The 21267-nt window shown below is 44.0% G+C and overlaps 1 protein-coding gene across 6 annotated transcripts in view; it reads left to right on the top strand.

The window, feature by feature from the left end:
- The window catches only part of CCBE1 (collagen and calcium binding EGF domains 1), a 266783-nt gene extending 245778 nt beyond the window's left edge, over positions 1–21005 (top strand). For 3 of the 6 annotated variants that reach the window (XM_024451091.2, XM_047437302.1, NM_133459.4), the window contains 5 exons: positions 3841–3961; positions 12128–12267; positions 12366–12401; positions 13798–13833; positions 15803–21005. In XM_024451091.2, coding sequence (XP_024306859.1) covers positions 3841–3961; positions 12128–12267; positions 12366–12401; positions 13798–13833; positions 15803–16036 — 567 coding nt within the window. In that variant the 3' untranslated portion in view covers positions 16037–21005. Of the gene's footprint in view, positions 1–3840; positions 4075–12127; positions 12268–12365; positions 12402–13797; positions 13904–15802 lie in introns of all 6 variants that reach the window. The other 3 variants (XM_017025557.2, XM_047437301.1, XM_017025558.2) reach the window with 2 other exon arrangements.

Genomic DNA, 21267 nt, shown 5'->3' with positions numbered 1-21267 from the left:
AAGTGGTGACTTGTTGGGGAAGAGAGGAGACTGATTGGGATGGGGCACGTGGAAGGAGGGGGTCTGGGGTGGCTGGCAAAGTTCTGTTGGATTGATTTGGGAGTTCTTTAAAAGGGTGCTTACTTTTTTTATTTTTAATTTCTGGGGTACATATGCAGGATGGGCGGGTTTGTTACACAGGTAAATGTGTGCCATGGTGGTTTGCTGCAACTGAAGAGGTGCTTGCTTTATAACAATTTGCTAAGTTATATATTTGTGTTGTGAAGTTTCCAGGTTCTTTGCTTTATTTTGCAATAAAAACATGTTTTTAAATGGTGTATAGACCTCAGTGCCTCCACCTCCACCACTTCTTCTGTGGTGTGGGAAGAAAACAAGTGATGTGGTGAGAAAGGGAGAGTGTGGGGATAGATTCGATGCCTGTCATTTAACTTTTAGATGGGTCTCTGTCCCGCGAGAGCACTTAAAATTCAGAGCCAACTCTCCTGTCCTTTTTTTTTTTTTTTTTTTTTTAAGTTGCTTGTGTTCTGGCAGCAGGGACTATCGGATTTGAGAGTGAAATTGCTGCAGAGAGTTCCCTGGGAAGGGAGACTCCAGAAGGAGAGGGCTGGCACTCAAGCCTGCACTCAGCCTGTCCTGGGTTGACTGGTGTGCTTGGCCTCCCTCGGTGGCTGCCTGGGGAGTTGAGAATTTCTCTCTCTACTCTTAAACCAGCGACTCTCCCCACGTTGAGCAGTTGAGGGAAGTGTGGATAATCATTCAGGAAGTGCTCGTTGAGCACCTACTGTGGGCTGGGAAATGGGGAAATACAAAACACTACGGAGAGGATTCTGCCTGAAATAAACTTACTGTCTTATGGGGAAACCATGCCAACGGTGTTAAATCAGCAAACAATGGCCAAATGAAGTGGGGCCAACAGTCAGGCCTGAGAATTTAGAGGCCCCTAGGATTTCAAGTGAGTACATTTGCAACCCGATGGCTGCACCTGCTCGGTCTAGCATCACCTTTGCCTCAGGTGGTTATATGGCTTCTCAATAATGTGTGGTTTCCTCTGCTACTCTATAAAATGGGTCTTCCCAGGATTATTGGGAATCCATATTAAACTGACTGTAGGCCGGGCGCAGTGGCTCATGCCTGTAATCCCAGTACTTTGGGAAGCCAAGGCGGGCGGATCACTTGAGGTCAAGAGATACAGACCAGTCTGGCCAACATAGTGAAACCCCATCTCTACTAAAATTAGAAAAATTAGTTGGGTGTGGTGGCGGGAGCCTGTAATCTCCATCTACTCGGGAGGCTGAGGCAGGAGAATCACTTGAACCTGGGAGGCAGAGGTTGTAGTGAACTGAGATTGCACCACTGCACTCCAGCCTGGGTGATAGAGTGAGATTCTGTCTCAAAACAAAATTTAAAAAGTGACTGTAGGTTGCCGCTTGGTTTAATGGTTAGGAGCACAGATTCTGGAAGCAGACTGGCTAAGTTTAAATTCTAGACCCACCGTCTGCTGGCTGTGTGACTCTCGGTAAGTTACCTAACCTCTCTGTGCCTCAGTTCTACTTTTAAAAAACGACAACATTAATACCTACTGCCTAAGGATTTTATGATAATCAAATGTGAATATTTACAAAGGACTGAGAACAGCGCCATCCATCTAGAAAGAGCTCTACAAATGTTTAGCAAGTAAAAATATTATTTATTAGCACTCTTTACAAAGTACCTTCAAGATGCATCTCACGGATTCATCCCAACAGCTCTTTGAGGCAAAAGCTCTCTCACAAAGGCTAATATGAGATAAATGATACGCATAATTCCATTGACTGGAATCTGGGAGAAATGCAGACTCTTTTTACATTACTACAACCTTCCTCCCAAACTCCTGGCATCCCACAGCCCATCGTCTGCTGTGTTTATGCAGAAAGTGGGGCCAGAGATTCTGGACAGCCGCCTCTAAAGTGCCAGTGCCTTCATTCTGCACTCCTGCTGCCACACAGAGGGGCTGAAGGGAACCAGGATGCAGCCACCCAGCAGGAGGTCAGCCGGGACACTGAGGTCAACATTTGCCACCTTACCTCGTCACTTTTTCAAGAGGCCAAATCAAGCAAAGAGGACTGGGGGGAATAGGGGAGCATCTCTGGAGCCCATCTGTGTGCAGGCCTCATCCTGAGGTTCTGTTTACAAAATTTTAAATACGAAGACTTGATCATGTGTTGAAACTGCACATTTTGTAGACTTGGAAGGATGAAGGGACTTACCAAAGTCACACAGCTACTTAGGAACAAAGTCAGGAGCAGCCCCCAGACAGCATTTCTTTTTTTTTTTTTTTTGGACAGAGTCTCACTCTGTTGCCCAGGCTGGAGTGGAGTGCAGTGGTGCGATCTCGGCTCACTGCAACCTCCACTTCCTGGGTCCAAGCAGTTCTCCTGCCTTAGCCTCCCAAGTAGCCGGGACTACAGGCGTGCACCACCATGCCTAGCTAATTTTTGTATTTTTAGTGGAGATAGTGTTCCACCATGTTGGCCAGGCTGGTCTCGAACTCTTGACCTCAAGTGATCCACCTGCCTTGGCCTCCCAAATTGCTGGGATTAGAGACATGAGCCACAGTGCCCAGGCCCCCAGACAGCATTTCTGCTGGTCTATGACAATGGCTGGACACTGAGTCAGGCACGTTAAAGACAACATCACTTTAACCCTCCAGCAGTGCCTCTAGGTGGCCGTTACCATCCCCATTTTATAGATGAGGAAATCCAGGTTGTGTAGCTTACCCAAGATCCCACAGGTAGAAAGTGGCAGGGCTCAGATTTAAAGGTAAGTCTGCCTTATTCCAAGGCCCAAGAGTGGGACCCACATTTCAGTTTCTTAGTTGGAAGCAGATGATAAAATTGGATCAGGCTTCAGCTGCCAGTGTTGACCCACTGCCTCATGGTTGCAGTAGATTTACTGATACATTTCCCTCACTCACTGAGGGAAGAGGTTCACTCCTTTCCTCCCCAGGGCCACAGGTACCCACCTGCAGGTTGTGGTGGTCTATTGCTATGACACAGTGATGTCAGCACCATTTTAAATATATCCCAGGCACACAGTGGTGACTCTGAATCATGAGCCCTGACTTGAAGTTGTACAAAGCTGGCTTTCAGATTGCACAAGATTTTGATTCTTACAGTCATCCCTACTGAATTCTGAGTAACAATCACAGGGGAATTGTATTAGAGATCTCTAGAGAGACAGAACTAATGGGATACATGTGTATATGAAAGGGAGTTTATTAAGGAGAATTGACTCCCGTGATCACAAAGTGTCAAAGAATTTGTGGACACATTTTACAACCACCACAGTCACGATTGCCCAGTTGTACTGAAGGTCAGCCCTGAGTGTGCTGGGGAACCGTCAGCCATGTTCTCGGTCCTAACTCCCAAGGCTGAGAGTTCTTTAAGGGCAGGAACCATGTCTTGGTCACCACTGTAGCCACAGAACCAAGCCAGGACCTGCACATAGTAGGTGTTCAATAAATGTTTGAGACATAAAATAGGTCATTGAAAAATTGAGAGTATGAAATAAGTAGATCCCATTAATTATGGTAATAATGAGTTCTAGTGATATCTAGGCCATCTGGAGCTTATTTAAGCTCACCTACTAACTAGCTGAGTAATGTCATACAAGTTATTTGCCCTAGAATGCCTCTAGGTTTAGAAAGAGGCTCTTTATAGTTTCTCTGAGCTCTAACTAGCTCTAGTAAAAAGTATATACATATGTCTCATGAAAAGGCTTTGCAGCTTCTCCCACCAAGACAAATGCCGAGGCTCTCTTCTGCCATTGCTTCCTGACTGAGGCTTCCTCTTCTCCTTGCAGATTGCTCTGCTCCCCAACAATGCAGCTGACCTGGGCAAGTATATCACTGGTGACAAGGTGCTGGCCTCAAACACCTACCTTCCAGGACCTCCTGGCCTGCCTGGGGGCCAGGGCCCTCCCGGTGAGTGTGGAAGAGGGCACAGGAGGGTGATCACCAACAGAAAAAGCCTGCCAAAAGCTCACATTTGCTGGGGCCTGGACAATGTTCTCCAGCTTCCATCGAGGAGAAACAAGGCAGGTGTCCATGGGACTGCCACACACCCATGCAATGAGAGAGCCTGGGAAATAGGCCCTCAAGCCTGAGAAACCCTCATAGCCAATAGCAATGTGGGAGAAAAAGCTCATTGTCCTGGGATTGGATAAGATTCCTAAAGATCATTTTAAGTTAAAAAAACCAAATGAAAACTATCTTAAACCTTTTTCTGGAAAAATTTTAACATATACAAAAATGGAACAGTATTATGAACCCCCCCTGCTTGGGGCTCCTCACCCAATTCTAACAACTCAGAGCCAGCCTCTTCCTACTGCTCCCCAGTCTTCCTTCCACCTTTCCTTATTTGTTCGCATATTTATACCTATATTTATTTTTATACCTAGCTATATGTTTTTACAAGTCAACTGTATTGACATACAAATGACATGTAATGTACTCATTTAAATTACCATTCAAATTTTGACAGATGTATTTACCCATGTAACTCCCATCCTATATTTCAAGATATAGAACATTTCTATCACCCCAGAAATTTCCCTTCTGTCCATGTGCACATGTCCACTTCCCCAACTCCCAGTCTAGGCAGACACTGACCTGCTTTCTTTCACTGTAGTTTTACCTGTTCTAGAACTCCATATGACTAGAATCTTTATACACATATATACACACACATATATACGTATGTGTGTATATATATGTGTGTATAAAGAAATTCTTGTGAATGTGTACTTTCAGCTTCTTTCATTCAGTATACTGTTTCTGAATATTCACCCTTATTAATTGGATGAAAATCCCGAACATCCTATCATTTCATCAGGAAATATACAATGAGAACTTAAAAAAAAATAGTTCCAAGTTATTTTATATTTTTAGTACTTATGGAGGTATAGAGCAATAGACTTTTTTCTCCACACTGGTAAGGGAAATGACTTTAGTGTTAGCAAATGATTCTAAACCTTTGAGTGCCTTATCCCTGGCTATCATTGCTTAGCAGTGTGCTAGGCATTATGAATGACCTCTTGACATCCTAATTGGGAAGACCAGACACATAGAGCATATGCAAATAGAATAAAACAGTACCCACATGCCCTCCAGGTAAGTGCACAGATGCTTCCTGCTGTGGGAGCTTGAAGGGAGCGAGCACTGTAGTCTGCAGTGGTCAGCGGCATTTAGGTTTGATCTGGACATGGCAGACTGGTAGAATTTGCCCAAGGAGGAAGGACACAGGTGGGTTTTCGGTTGGAAAGTCAGCAAGAACAAAAGCTCAGAGTTCTTCACGGAGGATTTGTGTGTTTTCTCTCCACTTATGTCTTAAACTCTTCAAACACAAGCCTGAGTCTCCGTCCATCCAGAGAATAAGACGATTCAGGATTTGGCTTATCCTCGTTCATTCCCTTGGCCTGAGGTACTCCGGGTCATGGTGGAGTTTTCACCAGCAAACACTTCACACAGGCACCCTCTGGCTGCTTCTAAACAGACTGGGGTCTCTCCTTATAAACTGCTTCCTAGCATAGTGCTCTCCACCCTCCTCTAAGAGAATGCTCTTGCTTTGCTTCTCTGGAGGAAGTCAACTCCAGGCTATAGATCACTAGAACAAAACCAACTGTAGGAGCAGGGGAGTCATTGGCTGTCTTGCTTAATAAATGCCTTGCAAGCTTTCTTCTCCAATGCTGCCATCTGGCTTGTAACATGGTTTGAGCTGTCCAGGGTCCTTGATGGAGCAGAGAATGATTGAGGATGAATAAGCTTTTGCAACAGACCCGGCCTTTGAATGGGGACATTCCAAACCCATTTCCTTCTCTCTCTTAACTTCTAGTGTTTGTGGTACCCACCACTGAGACTTATTAGGGAAGCTAGAAAGCTAATAGGCTTTCTCTCACCCTTAAATAAAAGTCCAGTTCCGAGGCCTGTGGTGAATCAGACTGGAGCACCAATACAGGAAACTACTCTGGGTTGGAATCTGCTTAGCTTTGGTGGTAAGGGGGCGGCTGCTGCTTTCTGGCCTCCACTGTCATACGTAAGGTGCTGCCGTTTGTACATTAAAGTCCCACATTTCAAAGGCACTTGACATACTGTGATCTCTGTAGTGTACTGATTGTGTAAATGTGGGTGAGATATTATCTCTGGCCTCTTTTTTGTGCTACTGGAGGTAAAATATTTAGTAAAAGGAGGGATCTGGCACCCTTCCCAAACTCATTGTAGATATACCTGGAACCAGTATTAAGAGTAGGGGTGTGAGACATGTTTGGATGGAACATCGACTGCTTTTAACTTTGGCGTAATTATTCTGTGAACTAAAAAAGACTTATCTAAATGTGAAAAGTTTAAAGTCTCCGTTTCTTTGTTTTATTTGCTGGAGTCTGACTGTCATTCCATCTTGTCACTGCTCTGTCAGTACTAGGGGTTAGGTATGATCAAAAAGCAATTACTATGTGCATTTAAAAGAACAATTATGAGACAAGTATAGTATAACAATCTTCTCAGTCTCTTCAATGCAATCACTTAGTAAAAAACATTTACTAAGCAGCCCACTATGTATCCAGGACTATCTGAGGATATGCTAATAAATAAGACACAATTCAAGCTCTCACAGAGCTGATTATCTAAAATGGGTTAAAACACAATGTCCTTCTGCATGCAGAAGAATGAGGTTGGACCCTTACCTTACACCATCTGCAAAAATTAACTCAAAATGGATTAAAGAGTGAAATGTAAGACCCCAAAACTATGAAAATCCTAGAAGAAAACATAGAGGAAAGCTTCATGACATTGGATTTGGTGATGAGTTCTTGGATATGACCCCCAAAAGCATAGGCAGCAAAAGCAGTAGATGAATGGGACTACATCAAACTTAAATTTCTGTGTCTCAAATCAAACAATCAACAGGGCAAAAACAACCTACAGGATGGAAGAAAATAATTGTAAGTCATATATCTGATAAGGGGTTAATATCTAGGATATATAAGAACTTCAATATTCAACAAAAAAGCACCTGATTAAAAAGATGGGAAAAGGACTTGAATAGACATTTCTCCAAAGAAGACATACAAATGGCCAAAAACCATATTAAAAGATACTCAACATCACTGATCATTAGAGCATTGCAAACCAAAACTACAGTGAGATGCCATCCCACACCCATTAGGATGGCCACTATTTTTGAAAAAATACAAGCTTGGGAAACATAGGGAGACCCTGTCTGTATAAGAGAAAATTTAAACTAGCCAGGCTATAGTCCCAGCTACTCAGGAGGCTGAGGGGTAGAAGATCGCTTAAGCCCAGGAGGTCGAGGCTACAGTGAGCCATGAAAACAACACTGCATTCCAGCCTGTGTGACAGAGCAAGACCCCCTCTCAAAAAAAAACCACCGAGAAAATAAGTATTGACAAGGATATGGAAAAATTGGAACCCTGGGCACTGTTGGTGTGAATGTAAAATGGTTCAGTCACTGTGGAAAAGAGTGTGGAGATTCCTCAAAAAATTAAACATATCAGGAGGCTTAAGCAGGAGGATCACATGGGCTCAGGAGTTCGAGGCCAGCCTAGGCAACAGAGACCCTAACTAAAAAAAATGTATATATATGAATGAGATCCAGAAATGCCACTCCTGGGAATATACCCCAAAGAATTAAAAGCAGGATCTTGAAGAGATACTCACACACGCATCTTCATAGCAGCACTTTTCACAATAGCCAAGAGGTGGAAGCAACCCAAGTGTCCATCAATGGATATAACCCAGGTGTCCATCAATGGATAAGAATGGAAAAACAAAATGTGACATACACTTACAATGGAATATTATTCAGCCTTTAAAAAGATGGAAATTTTGACACGGAACAATATAGATGAATCTTAAGGATATTAGGCTAAGTGAAATAAGCTAGTCAAAAAATGACACACTATATAATTAACACTTATATAAGGTATCTAAAATAATTAAACTCATAGAAACAGAAAGTAGACTGGTTGTTATCAGGGGCTGAGCAGAGTGGAAAATGGGGAGTTATTCGGTGGTCTAGAGTTTCTGTTTTACAGGATGAGAAAGTTATAGAGATCTGTTGCACAACAATGGGAATATACTTAGCATTACTAAACACTACATTTAAAAAATAGTTAAGATGGGCTGGGGGCCGTGGCTCACACCTGTAATCCCAGCACTTTGGGGAGGCTGAGGTAGGCAGATCACTTGAGGTCAGGAGTTCAAGACTAGCCTGGCCAACATGGTGAAACCCCATCTCTACTGAAAATACAAAAAAATTAGCCGGGGGTGGTGGTGGGCACCTGTAATCCCATCTACTTGGGAGGTTGAGGCGGGAGAATTGCTTGAACCTGGGAAGCGGAGGTTGCAGTGAGACGAGATTGCACCACTGCACTCCAGCCTAGGTGACAGAGCAAGACTCCATCTCAAAAAAAAAAAAAAAGTTGGCAAATTTTGTGGATTTTTTATCACAAGTTTTTAAAAATGCTTGTCAGGCCCCCACTCTCTCTTCCCTCATCCCCCCAGCTGATGTTCAAGGCCTAAAGCAGAGGTGAACATGCTGATGTCTGTACCCAGGTGCTGCCCCACAGACACAGCTGTGGCCCTTGAGCCAGCAAGGTGTCCGCTAGAGTCCCCGGTGTGGGCAGAAATGCTGTGTTCCACACACAAGTGGGGAAGCGCCGCTAACCCAACCCAATACAAAGCGGCTGTTTACAACTCTCTGTGTTGTGGGTCAAGATAGATGATGCCTAAAGGTCTCTTCCCCATCAGCTTCCATGATAAGGTGGTATGCCGTATTCTGGCACACATGCAAACAACCATTATCAGACACAAGAGCAGATGACTTGTTAAACTCGGTATGGTCTCAGAGCTGTGTCGATACAGGCCTCTGAAAAGAATTAAAAAAACAAAACAAAACACAACCCCTCAACCTCTACAGAGATGGGCAGGTCACATAGATACATAGAAGGGAGCTGGGCAGGGGAGCAGTTAGAAACAAGGGAACTGAACCAAACCAGAGAGCACTCACCCCATGTAAAGGGGCAGCCCCTACTGAGAACTCCAGTTGGTTGTGCTGATGATGGAATTGTGGTTTTTGTGCTTCCTATTTCAAACCAGAGTCAGGAACCCAGATTTTTATATGAAATCTCCCAATTTTTATTTTTATTTATTTATTTATTTTTGAGATGGAGTCTCATTCTGTTGCCTAGGCTGGAAAGCAGTGGCATGATCTCGGCTCACTGCAATCTCTGCCTCCCAGGTTCAGGAGATTCTCCTGCCTCAGTCTCCCAAGCAGCTAGGATTATAGGCGCTTGCCATCAAGTCCAGCTAATTTTTGTATTTTTAGTAGAGATGGGGTTTCACTGTGTTGGCCACGCTGGTCTCAAACTCCTGACCTCAAGTGATCTGCCCACCTCAGCCTCTCAAAGTGCTGGGATTACAGGCATGAGCCACCGCACCTGGCCCCAATTTTTAAATGTTAAGAATGCTCGGAAGAAAATGATACACATAAACAGAAAACACATACATGTACAGTGCATGAATGCATATAAACACACACATTATACTATAGATATACTGCAAGCATGTACAATGAAGAAAGCAGTTAATTCTTACTTTCAGAAGCCCGTATCGACACAGCACTGAGACTATACCGAGTTTAACTTTCAGAAGCCTGTATCGACACAGCACTGAGACTATACCGAGTTTAACAAGTCATCTGTTTTTGTGCCTGTCTGATGATAGTTGTTGGTACGACGGGGGAGATGTTAAAATGTTTTTGGAGATAGGTGATCTGTGGTGATGGAGACAAGACAGAAAGAATAGTGTGAGCTGGATTGTGTGCTATGGTATGGTTTATTCAGGGAGGATGGGACTATGGGGCAATTAGGAAGGAGGCAATCATGGAAAAAATGCTTGGCAAGAAAGACAAGAATGAACAAGGATACTATGCTGAGGAGTTAGAGCTTTATTCTCTATGCAGAGGGGAGCCACTGTAGGGTTTTCTTTTTCTCCTTGGACTCCAATTACACTTATGTTAGATGGTTCGATATTATCTCACCTCTTTTGGATGCTTCATTTTATCTTCCTCTTTGTGATTCACTTTGAGTAACTGTTGACTTATCTTTAAGTTCACTGATTCTTTGCTCAGCTGGGAGCAGTCTGTTGATGAGCCTATATTGTTTTCATACATGATATTATATTTTTCATTTCCATTTGACTTTTTCCTTTAATTTCCATCTCTCTGCTGAAATCCCTCATCTGCTCAGACACACTGTTTATCTTTTCCAACAGCACCGTTCACATGCTGTTATTTTAAAGCCCATATCTCATTATTCCAACATCTGGGTCCCCTCTGAGGCTTGTCCTGCTGATTGTTCTATTACTTGACAATGTGTTTTTTTGTTTTGATTTTTTTTTTTTTTTTGAGATGGAGTCTCGCTTTGTCACCCAGGCTGGACTGCAGTGGTACAATCTCAGCTCACTGCAACCGCCGCTTCAGCCTCCTGAGTAGCTGGGATTACAGGTACCCACCACCACACCTGACTAATTTTTGTATTTTTAGTAGAGATGGGGTTTCACCATGTTGCCCAGGCTGATCTCGAACTCCTGACCTCAGGTGATCCACCCGCCTCAACCTCCCAAAGTGCTGGGATTACAGGCATGAGCCACTGTGCCCAGCCCTTTTCTTTCCATGTCTGAAAATTTTGGATTGAATGCCAGACATCATTTGCAGAGAAACAGTAGAGACTGAGGCACATGGTTATCACTCCTGGAGATGGGTACTCTCTTCTTTTGTCAGGCCACTGCCATGGGAAGCTAAGTCAACCTAATGAATAACTGAGCTGGGTTTTGGCTTTATTGTCACTATATTTACTTTGTGTTCCACAGTCTTCAAATAATTCCTCCAATGGAAGGATGCTGTTACCTTATGCTTAGTGGAGGCCTAGGTTACCAGTGGATTTTTCTCAGTGTTTATACTCTGAGCTTTCAGCAGCCCCTACACACACACCTGTGCCACAGAGGGGTTCTCTCCCCACACTGTAGATTGCTATTACTTACTCCATGCTAGAGTTGTGGGGCAACGGGACATTTTCAGTTCTCCTGCTCCAGCTGCAATCCTAAGCATGACCTATGCTTCTGGGCCTTGGGGTGAGATGATCTTCCCCATATCCCCCAACTCATCCCCCAGCATGCCTTGTACCTGTGGCAAATCTTAGCCAGAAGAACATTTCCTACCCCTCACTAAGAAGTAAGGGATATTTCTCTGGGGCCTGCAAGAGAGAGTGAGTTTGCTGACCCACCGAGTGCCTTGAGACATTTGCACCAGAAGGTTGAAAGTAGGTGGGTTACATAGTAAGACTTGTTTTAGATGTGTCATCCCTATAGAAATATCAAAAATGGGCAAGGGGTGAAAAGACTGGTTCGGGGCAGAAAGACTAGCAATGAGGCAAGAGTCAAAGCAAATATAAGGAAGGCCTAGCAGATGTTTTAGTACTTACTATGTGTGAAGTACTATACTAAGTGCTGTGTATATATCTGAAATCTCATGTAATGCAACTACTCCATAAGGAAGATTTTTATTAGCCCACTTTTACAGATGAGATGAGAAACTAAAGCTCAGATGGCTCAGGCAACTTGTCAGATTCAAACCCAAGTCTCCCTGATGCTAAAACCTGTACTGCTCTCCAGCCATGATCACCACTTCTCTGTGGTGGTGGCCACTACTCTGCTGTGATCCAGTGGATAGAAGGGAGCAGACAGCTGTGAGATGTTAAAGAGGTAAAATGCACAGGAGCTGGCCACTGATTCAAAAAGGAGGTTGCAGAAACAGGGAAATATAGAGGAAGACTCTCCAGTTTTTGGCTTGAGTGGATGTATGACTGGCAGTCCGCGAAAAGAGAGGAAGATGGGGAAGCCGCTTTTGATCGTATCAAGTTTAAAATGCCTGTGGGACAGCCTGATGGAGATGTCAGAAGGCAAAGGCAGAGAGAGTACAAAGAGAAATGGCTGCAGGGGTCCTGGACTCTTGTTAGCCAGGGCCCTTTGTCCTTCTCATGTGCTGTGAGCTAATGAGGTGTTCTTTGATTACAGGCTCACCAGGACCAAAGGGAAGCCCAGGCTTCCCCGGTATGCCAGGCCCTCCTGGGCAGCCCGGCCCACGGGGCTCAATGGGACCCATGGGACCATCTCCTGATCTGTCCCACATTAAGCAAGGCCGGAGGGGCCCTGTGGTCAGTATCTTATCAGAGATCCACTTCCTTTTTGGGGGAAAATGTGTTTTTGTCCCATGCTTTTGCCTGTGGTTAAACCAGATCCTTTTGTATTACAGGGTCCACCAGGGGCACCAGGAAGAGATGGTTCTAAGGTAAGCCTTATGAGTGGTCCTCACAAGCTAAAGGTCTCTCACTTTCGATTTTTTTGTTTTGTTTTGTTTTTGTTTTTTGAGATGGTCTTGCTCTGTCACCCAGGCTGGAGTGCAATGGCACAATCTTGGCTCATTACAGCCTCTGCCTCTCTGGCTCAAGCCCAATTCTCCCGCCTCAGCCTCCCAAGCAGCTGGGACCACAGGTGTGCACCACCACTCCCGGCTAATTTTTGGATTTTTCTTTTTTTTTCTTTTTGAGACAGAGTCTCACTCTGTCACCCAGGCTGGAGTGCAGTGGCACGATCTCAGCTCACGGCAAGCTCCACCTCCCGAGTTCACGCCATTCTCCTGCCTCAGCCTCCCGAGTAGCTGGGACTACAGGCGACCGCCACCACACCTGGCTAATTTTTTTGTATTTTCAGTAGAGACAGGGTTTCATCGTGTTAGCCAGGATGGTCTCCATCTCCTGACTTCGTGATCCGCCCACCTCGGCCTCCCCAAGTGCTGGGATTACAGGCGTGAGCCACCACACCCGGCCTAATTTTTGGATTTTTTAGTAGAGACGGGGTTTCGCCATGTTACCCAGGCTGGCCTTAAACTCCTGACCCCAGGTGATCTGCCCGTCTCAGCCTCCCAAAGTGCTGGTATTACAGGTGTGAGGCACCGCTCCCGGCCTGAAGGTCTCTCACTTTCTACCTCTTGCACTGACATCCAGGAAAGCTCACCAGACACTGTTTACCAACCCCATTTTGCATGCAGCAGAAGTGAGACACAGATACCAGATAGAACTTTTTCCCCAAAGCTGGGAACAAAATCTGAAAAGCCATTGTCTTCAATTCCAAAACCAACCCCAAAGACAAAAACAACCACCACAACCACTCATAGGAAAAGTGACCCCTGTAAATTTTAAATGAGCCTCTGTGTTGTGATTCTCACATGTGTTTTTCTCTTTAACCAGTGTTGCTTTACGGGATAGCTTTTTGTGTGTTTCCATTTCTGTGAGATTTCTCAGGAACAGGAGATGCTCCATTCTTTTTGCAAGCAGGGTGGTTCCCCTCTGAGAGCTGCCTGCTCTTTTTTGCCTCACAAAGAAGTCAGTGTGAGTTACTTCAGAAAGTTTGTTACTCCACATGCTGTTGGGAAATATGAACATTCCTCTTGCCAAGAAGGTTTGAAAATAGATGGGCTTGAGGGAAATCAGAATGAGAGACACTTGACCCAAGCAGTCCTGTTCAAATAAGTGGTCCCGTGAGTCCAGCTCAGTTTTACATATGTTTTCTATAGAAAATGTTTATTGTTTTGTGCAGGGAAGTGGTTATGGTGGGTGTATAAATAGAGACTATTCTTGTGATATCCATGTGCTCTAGAAAGCTAACCCTGGCCTTTCTGTTTTTAGGGGGAGAGAGGAGCGCCTGGGCCCAGAGGGTCTCCAGTAAGTAGCACTCTGTGTCCTGCTTCCCCAGGGGAACGTTCTCAGGGATGCAGCTCTGATGAGCCTATAGGTTGGTCTAGTAGCAAAAGCCCGCCCCTTCCTGATGCCACTCAGCCCACCTGAACAGAACTCTGTGGTTAGGAAGAGAGTCATAGAAGCCCTTAGCTGCTAGTTTGGATTTATTTTTCAAATTTGTTTTCTGTTGCTGTTTTCTCTTTTATCATGGCTAATCTTTATTTGAAATGTCTTTCCTAAAGCTCAAAACCCTGCTATGCCATGAGTCTGTTTCCAAGTATTATCATAAAACATTTGAAAGGTCTAGGAAGGAAATCTATGGGTTTAAATCATAACTCTGCGTACTTGAGAATTTAGCCACTGCTGCAACCCTAGCAGGCCAGATGGCCATCTCCTCTTAAAAAGTGCAAAACCACGCAGGGCTGTTTAGGACCTGAGAAGAAATTAGCTGCATATAAGCATAGTATCTGGGAGATTAAAAATGAGAAATAGTAGTATTCAAAAGCATAGAAAATTCAAACCACGTCACTGCTTCTGAAGAAGTATCATTTCTGAAATCCAGCGGCTGTGGCCACAGAGGTAGGAGTCGTGGGTTCCCATCTCAACTCTTCTACCTGCTGGCTTTCTGACCACGGGCACTTCACTGAGGGTCTCTGGGCATTCTTGCCCCCCACTGTGCAGTGGCGATAGTGGAATCTGACCTGCCATCCCTGAAGTGGCTACTGTGAGGGTCAAATGATATGAAAATACTGTGCCTCTCTTAGTGCTTTACGGTGTAAGCTCTGCTTCCACGGTGCCCGCTGCTGTAGCAGCAGTTGCGGGAGATGATAACGATTTTACTACAAGCTTCTGACAAGCCCAGAACATGCGTGTTTGTGCATTTCTTTTTTACCATGCCCCACACAGCGCTATATGAAATTAAGGCTTAGTAAATACTATATGATGATAAAGGATACTCAATACATAGAAAAATTAGGAAGATTTTGTTTGGACCTTTCCTAGTCAACGAGGAGTTGACGTCTTTACAACATCCTCTCAACTTCATTTAGTTTGTGCTTATAGTCAGCCATCTTATAAACATTTTAATAATTTTGCTTTTAAAAAATAACAGCATTGTTTTTTTTGAGACAGGGTCTCACTCTGTCACCCAGGCTGGAGTGCAGTGGCACAATCTTGGCTCACTGCAGCCTCGACCTCTTGGGCTCAAGTGATCCTCCCACCTTAGCCTCCCAAGTAGCTGGGTCCACAGGTGCCCACCACCACACCTGGCTAAATTTTTGTTAAATTTTTGTAGAGACAGGGTTTCACCATGTTTTCCAGGTTGGTCTTGAACTCCTGGGCTCAAGCTATCCATCCACCTCGGCCTCCCAAAGTGCTAGGATTATAGGCGTGAGCCACCACACCTGGCCCAGATAACATTTTTGAATACGTATTATGCTCAAAGCCCTTTACACGTATTTACTTGCTTAAATCCTCACTTATGAATCCTACAAAACCCTATGAAGTTGGGACTATTATTATCCCCGTTTTACAGATGGGGAAACTGAACCACAAGAAATTAAGATGACACAGCTAGTAAGCGGCAGAGATGAGATTCAAATCCAACAGAACCCCAGTCTCTTAACCACTGCTCTGCTGCCTTCATAAGCATCTTCCAGACTGCTTTGGAAAGTAACCTAGGAGAGTTATTCTTATATCCTTTCCTCTACTGGATTTGATAAAGCGTTAGGAGGGAGGAAAGGTGAATACATCACCAAAGCTCAGCTGAGAAGTGACAGAATTAGAAAACAATATGGAGGACCCCCAGGCTCCTGTAGCAGTCCTCACATTGGCTCCATTTGGGGCACAGAGTTATTGAGAAAGTAGTTGCCAGCAAGCAGCAGGTCAAGTCATGGAGCCCCGGAGGCCATTGCTGTCTGTCGTATTCTAGCTTTGATTCCTCCCATGTACACAGGGACCCCCTGGTTCTTTCGACTTCCTGCTACTTATGCTGGCTGACATCCGCAATGACATCACTGAGCTGCAGGAAAAGGTGTTCGGGCACCGGACTCACTCTTCAGCAGAGGAGTTCCCTTTACCTCAGGAATTTCCCAGCTACCCAGAAGCCATGGACCTGGGCTCTGGAGATGACCATCCAAGAAGAACTGAGACAAGAGACTTGAGAGCCCCCAGAGACTTCTACCCATAGCACATCCCAACACCGTCACGCCAAAGGAAGAGAAAGATCAACTCACCTGCAGTTAAACCATCTAAAGAGAAGAAAGACCACTGGAGACCTAGAAAACATACATTTTTCTCTTCTCTTCTCCTGACGTCTCTCCACTCCTCTTCTTCCAAATACGATGCTATTTTCAGAGTCCCCTCCTAGGCCTGCAGACATGAGGGAGTGAATGATTGATTTACCTGCTTCTCACTAAGAGTCCATTGGGGTGGTTTGCATTGTAACTTTTCTTTTACATCCTATTTTTCCAGGAACTTTGGATTTAAGTACTCTCACAGTGTCTTAAATCATAAATTCTTGAAGTTAAATTTGGCAGAGTATCAAAAGGGGGAAAATGACAAAGTGAGCTCTAAGAAAATGTGAGGCTACTTCTAAGATGTGTGTTCACAATAGACCATAACTCCTCTAGTATCAAAATTGGGGCTCTTCAGTTAAAAAGGGGTGGGGAGGACAAACGTGTCGATGTGCTTTGGTGGAGAATTTTTTCCTTGTGCTTCTAGTAGACTTTAAATATTGTATCCCTTTGTCAAACCTTGTTTCCCAAATTCAATTAAAGAGAGGAGAGAATTGAATGGCGTTTAGAGAAGATAGAAAAGAATCACAGTCATATATTTACTGTTATATAGATTGCCACATTCTAAAATTCAAATACGGTGCTTAAGGTTTCATGCCATGCTTATCTGTAAGTATCCTATTTAGGGAAGAAGATTAAACTCTCTTTTCAAAAAAACAAAGTGAAATGCCTGGATTCACATTAAAACAATGGGCTCTCGTTTGCTATAATATTTTAAAGCTGTTTAATCAACAGTGGAGTCTGCTCTATAAATATAGATTATTTGTTCAATAAACTGGCTGAGCTTAGAGAGAGGTGCAGAATTCCTGGTTCTGAGCAGGTGCCCAGAAGGTACCATTAGGTGCCATGATCCAGGCTGAACCAATATACAGTGGGGCTGAAGTCTGCAAGGAGGTTGCTGGCTTGGGCTGACCTCACTAATGCCATCAGCAGCGGTAGGTAAATTTTTTCTCCTTGGGTATTACAAGTTTTTGTCTGGAGCCAACCAAGCTTGCCACCAACATATTGAGAGTAATACACTATTGAAAGTTATCTTGGATGGGGAGAAAAAAAAATAGTGGTTTTCCTTGTTTGCAAAAACTTCCTTCCTATTCTCATTTTTTCTTAATTTTCTTTAATTTAGTCCAAGTTCCAGTTCTTTTAGGCCTTCTCTTTGATTTATTTTCCCCTGCATGTGAGAAGCAGTTCAGAAAAAGGTCTATATCTCCACCTCCTAGTGAGTTAGAGTGTTTTCTCAGAGCACCTCTGGGTGGCAAAGGGAAGCATGTTCCTGCCAAGGTTTGCTGTGGATTCAGAAGCACCAGGAGCAAGAGACCAGAAGGATGATCTGCTCCTTTGTAACGTTGTTGAGGGCCCTCTTGTTTCCAATGAGCAGCTTATAGGTTACTCACAGTCCACTTTCTCACTGGACACACAAAGTGGCTCTTTATCTACCTTTGCGGGAGATTTTCACTCTCCTGCAAATGATCGTTCTCACACTCATATTAGCTCATGTTGGAATTTCCCATCCTGCCATGTCCTTTCCCATTTCTTTTTGGCTTTTTTGCCTCCACCTTTTAGCCCACATCATTTAACTCCACTACTGTGAAAGCTTGCTTAAAGAAAATCCCTCTTGGCCGGGTGTGGTAGCCCACGCCTCTAATCCCAGCACTTTGGGAGGCTGAGGCGGGGAGATCACAAGGTCAGGAGATCGAGACCAGCCTGACCAACATGGTGAAACCCTGTCTCTACTAAAAATACAAAAATTAGCTGGGCGTGTTGGCACACACCTGTAATCCCAGCTACTCAGGAGGCTGAGGCAGGAGAATTACTTTAACCTGCGGGGGGAGCCTAGATTGCGCTACTGCACTCCAGCCTAGGCAACAGAGGGAGACTCTGTCTCATTAAAAAAAAAAAAAAAAAAAAAAAAAGGCCGGGCTTGGTGGCTCATGCCTGTAATCCCAGCACTTTGGGAGGCCGAGGCGGGCGGATCACGAGGTCAGGAGATCGAGACCACAGTGAAACCCTGTCTCTACTAAAAACACAAAAAATTAGTCGGGCGTGGTGGTGGGCGCCTGTGGTCCCAGCTGCTCGGGAGGCTGAGGCAGGAGAATGGCGTGAACCTGGGAGGCGGAGCTTGCGCTGAGCCGAGATCGTGCCACTGCACTCCAGCCTGGGCGACAGAGCGAGACTCTGTCTCAAAAAAAAAAAAATATCCCTTTTGTTGTGTTTGAATGCCACCTTTCAGTCTTCTTCCTTAAGAATGTTAGGAAGGGGCTTTGCAAACCTCTAGTGGCAACAGTCTTCCTTCCCTTCTTCCTACCACGTTGGAAATGCAGGACTCATGTCAGTCAGCATGTGACCGAGTCTTTCATGAACACTTTGCTCCTCTATGTCTCATTTATGCAAAATTCCTGGTGACTCTCCACTAACATTTTTAAAGTGAAAGCAAACTTTCACTTTAAAAAAAGTGAGCGAGAGGATCCCTTGAGCCCAGGAGTTCAAGGCCAGTCTGGGCAACATAGCAAGACCCCATCCCTAAAAAAAAAAAAATAAGTTTTATTAAATGTGGCACTTTCCCCTAGAAGGGCAGTAACCCCAGGAACCAGTCTGCCTCTTTTCGAATAAAGGAGACTTTTTAAAAAGAAAAAATTTCTTTTTAGGGTGGGGTGCTCTTTATCTAGCATCTTTCCTTCCTCCTTCTCTCTGCAAAATTCAACATTCATGACAGAGGGCCACACCAACCACGGGTTTATAGAGAGAGGAACTGAACAGCTGTTGATTCCCATCTGGAATATATTTAATGTTTGCCTGCTTGTGGAGCATGGTATTTAAAGGGTGTGGATGGATGAATGTTTAAAAAAAAACACACAAAACTATGCACAAGCTGTATGAGAGATGGCTAGGTCCATCTATGATTTTTTTTAAAAGAAGAATTTTAATACCTTTTCTTTGACAGTGAACTGTATTTAGAAATATGATCTTTATTGTGAAATGCTCATAAAATGCAACCAAACTGCATGTTTGGCCATAGGCTAGAATAATATATTAAAAGAATTAATGGAAAGTAGTATTGTCTGGGTTTCATGAAACTATTCCAGATAATATTCTCCAGCAAAACTTATGGTAACCTGTATTTTATAATGTCAATCTGCTGGACCAAGTTAATTTAGAAAATAATTTTTAATCCTCAGATTTTCAAAACTTGGACTACTGCAAGACTGATATGTACTTTTTATGCCCAAATCATATTTTTCAAAGATAGGACATCATAAGGCATCATTATTTCTAATGTATCTTTTAACTAGATAGAAAAAGCTTTACTGTCTAAACAGGACTTCTGCTCAAAACCTAATGGGAAAGCTATTTCTGGGGTAAGATTTGTAACAGTGCTTCTAGGTCATTTCATGTTTTATAGGGAAAAAGATCTTTGTACACCTCCTCAACCTGTTAGTAGAAATGTTGACTTCGATTTTTTGCACCCTCTTCACAGGACCTCATAAGTTGCCTCTGTTCTTGGAAAGCAATGGGAATAAAAATATGCTGTTGAAAATAGTGCATGGGGCCAGGCACAGTGGTTATGCCTGTAATCCCAACACTTTGGGAGGCTGAGGCGGGCGCATCATGAGGTCAGGAGATCAAGACCATCCTGACCAACACGTGGTGAAACCCCATCTCTACTAAAATAAATAAAAAAAAAAATTAGCCAGGCGTGGTGGTGCACGCCTGTAGTCTCAGCTACTCGGGAAGCTGAGACACAAGAATTGCTTGAACCCGGGAGGTGGAGGTTGCAGTGAGCCAAGATTGCGCCACTGCACTCCAGCCTGGCTACAGAGTGAGACTCCGTCTCGAAAAAAGAAAATAGTACATGGAGGGCATGCATTTTAGTTTAGGAAACCCCCCTCCCTTCCCAGTTCCAGAGGGAGAAATTATAAGCTATACTGTGCCAAAAGTGAGTGGGGCTGCAGAGAGAATGGTGCCTTTTCTCACCTTCTGAGTTAATGCCCGACATCTGCCATTGGATTCATTGACCAAAGGAAGTCATTTCTACTGTATAAACTCAGGAGTATCATAGCCCAACAAGTAAATAATAAATGTTCATTGGTTTTGGAAGGAAGGAAAGGTGAGTATTACCCCACCAAATACCAGCGAAGAGCACCCTGGCTTTGGCCATCTTTCCAAGGTTCATAATTGCTGTGGGCCTGGTGAGCCCTGTTCCCAGGTATGCAAGGGAGGGCTTCTCCAGGCCAGACATTTCTGTAGGTTTTCAGGTAGCAACTCCCCCATCATATTTTGGGTGTCATTCCCCACTCTCTCTCCCCACTTCTCAGCCTGTGCCCCAGAAACAACCACAGCAGCCTCATTCTGCAGACTTAACATCTGTCAAATAACCTTCCTGAAAAGGAAAGTTATTGGAGGAATCCAGGCCAAACAACAAGTAGAATAGAGCCATCTAAAGTTATTAATAATGAGTTCAGGGAAATAGATGAATTTTTTCCTGGCATAGTCAATATTTATATCTCACAACAAGTCAAAAATAATTTTCCATTTGGAAAACAAAACACACCATGACTGTAATTGTTAAGGCATATAATCATGAACTTCACATGCTCCCTCAACAAACGTTACTGCTCTAGGGAAATCATAGAAAAGGACCCTCTTACTCCCCAGGGGATCAAAGCAAGTCCCCTTAGGAATTTCATGTGTGCCGTGGGTCTGTTTTTATTTCACAGTGACTAGTCATATACTGGAGTAGCTCTGTTGTTCATTATTTGTAACAGGTCCATGTAACAGTCAAGTTAGCATTCAAGCAATTATGGATGTGATACTATGATGTACTTTTGTTATGATTGTATATGCTTAATAACAAAGTTATTTTTCTTACATTGCTCTACTGTGTTTTGTCTTGACACCTGGTTTTGTGAAGCAAGTTATCTTTTTACCCAGTGAACAAGGAGACGGAGAGGTACATTTCTCTTGAGAGCTGGAATCGAGAATCTGGGTCAGCCACCTCCTGAGGTCTGGGTGTGCTCAGAGCATTTGAATCTGAATCAAGGTCTGAAGGCGCAGGTACCACTGCATGTGGGTCTCAGAGATCCAGTTCCCTAGCTGAGATTCCCAGGGTGAGATTTTCAAACCGAGAACC

This window comes from Homo sapiens, chromosome 18 (assembly GCF_000001405.40).
Source record: "Homo sapiens chromosome 18, GRCh38.p14 Primary Assembly".
Classification (NCBI taxonomy): Eukaryota; Metazoa; Chordata; class Mammalia; order Primates; family Hominidae; genus Homo; species Homo sapiens.
This window is presented reverse-complemented; position numbering and strand designations above follow the sequence as displayed.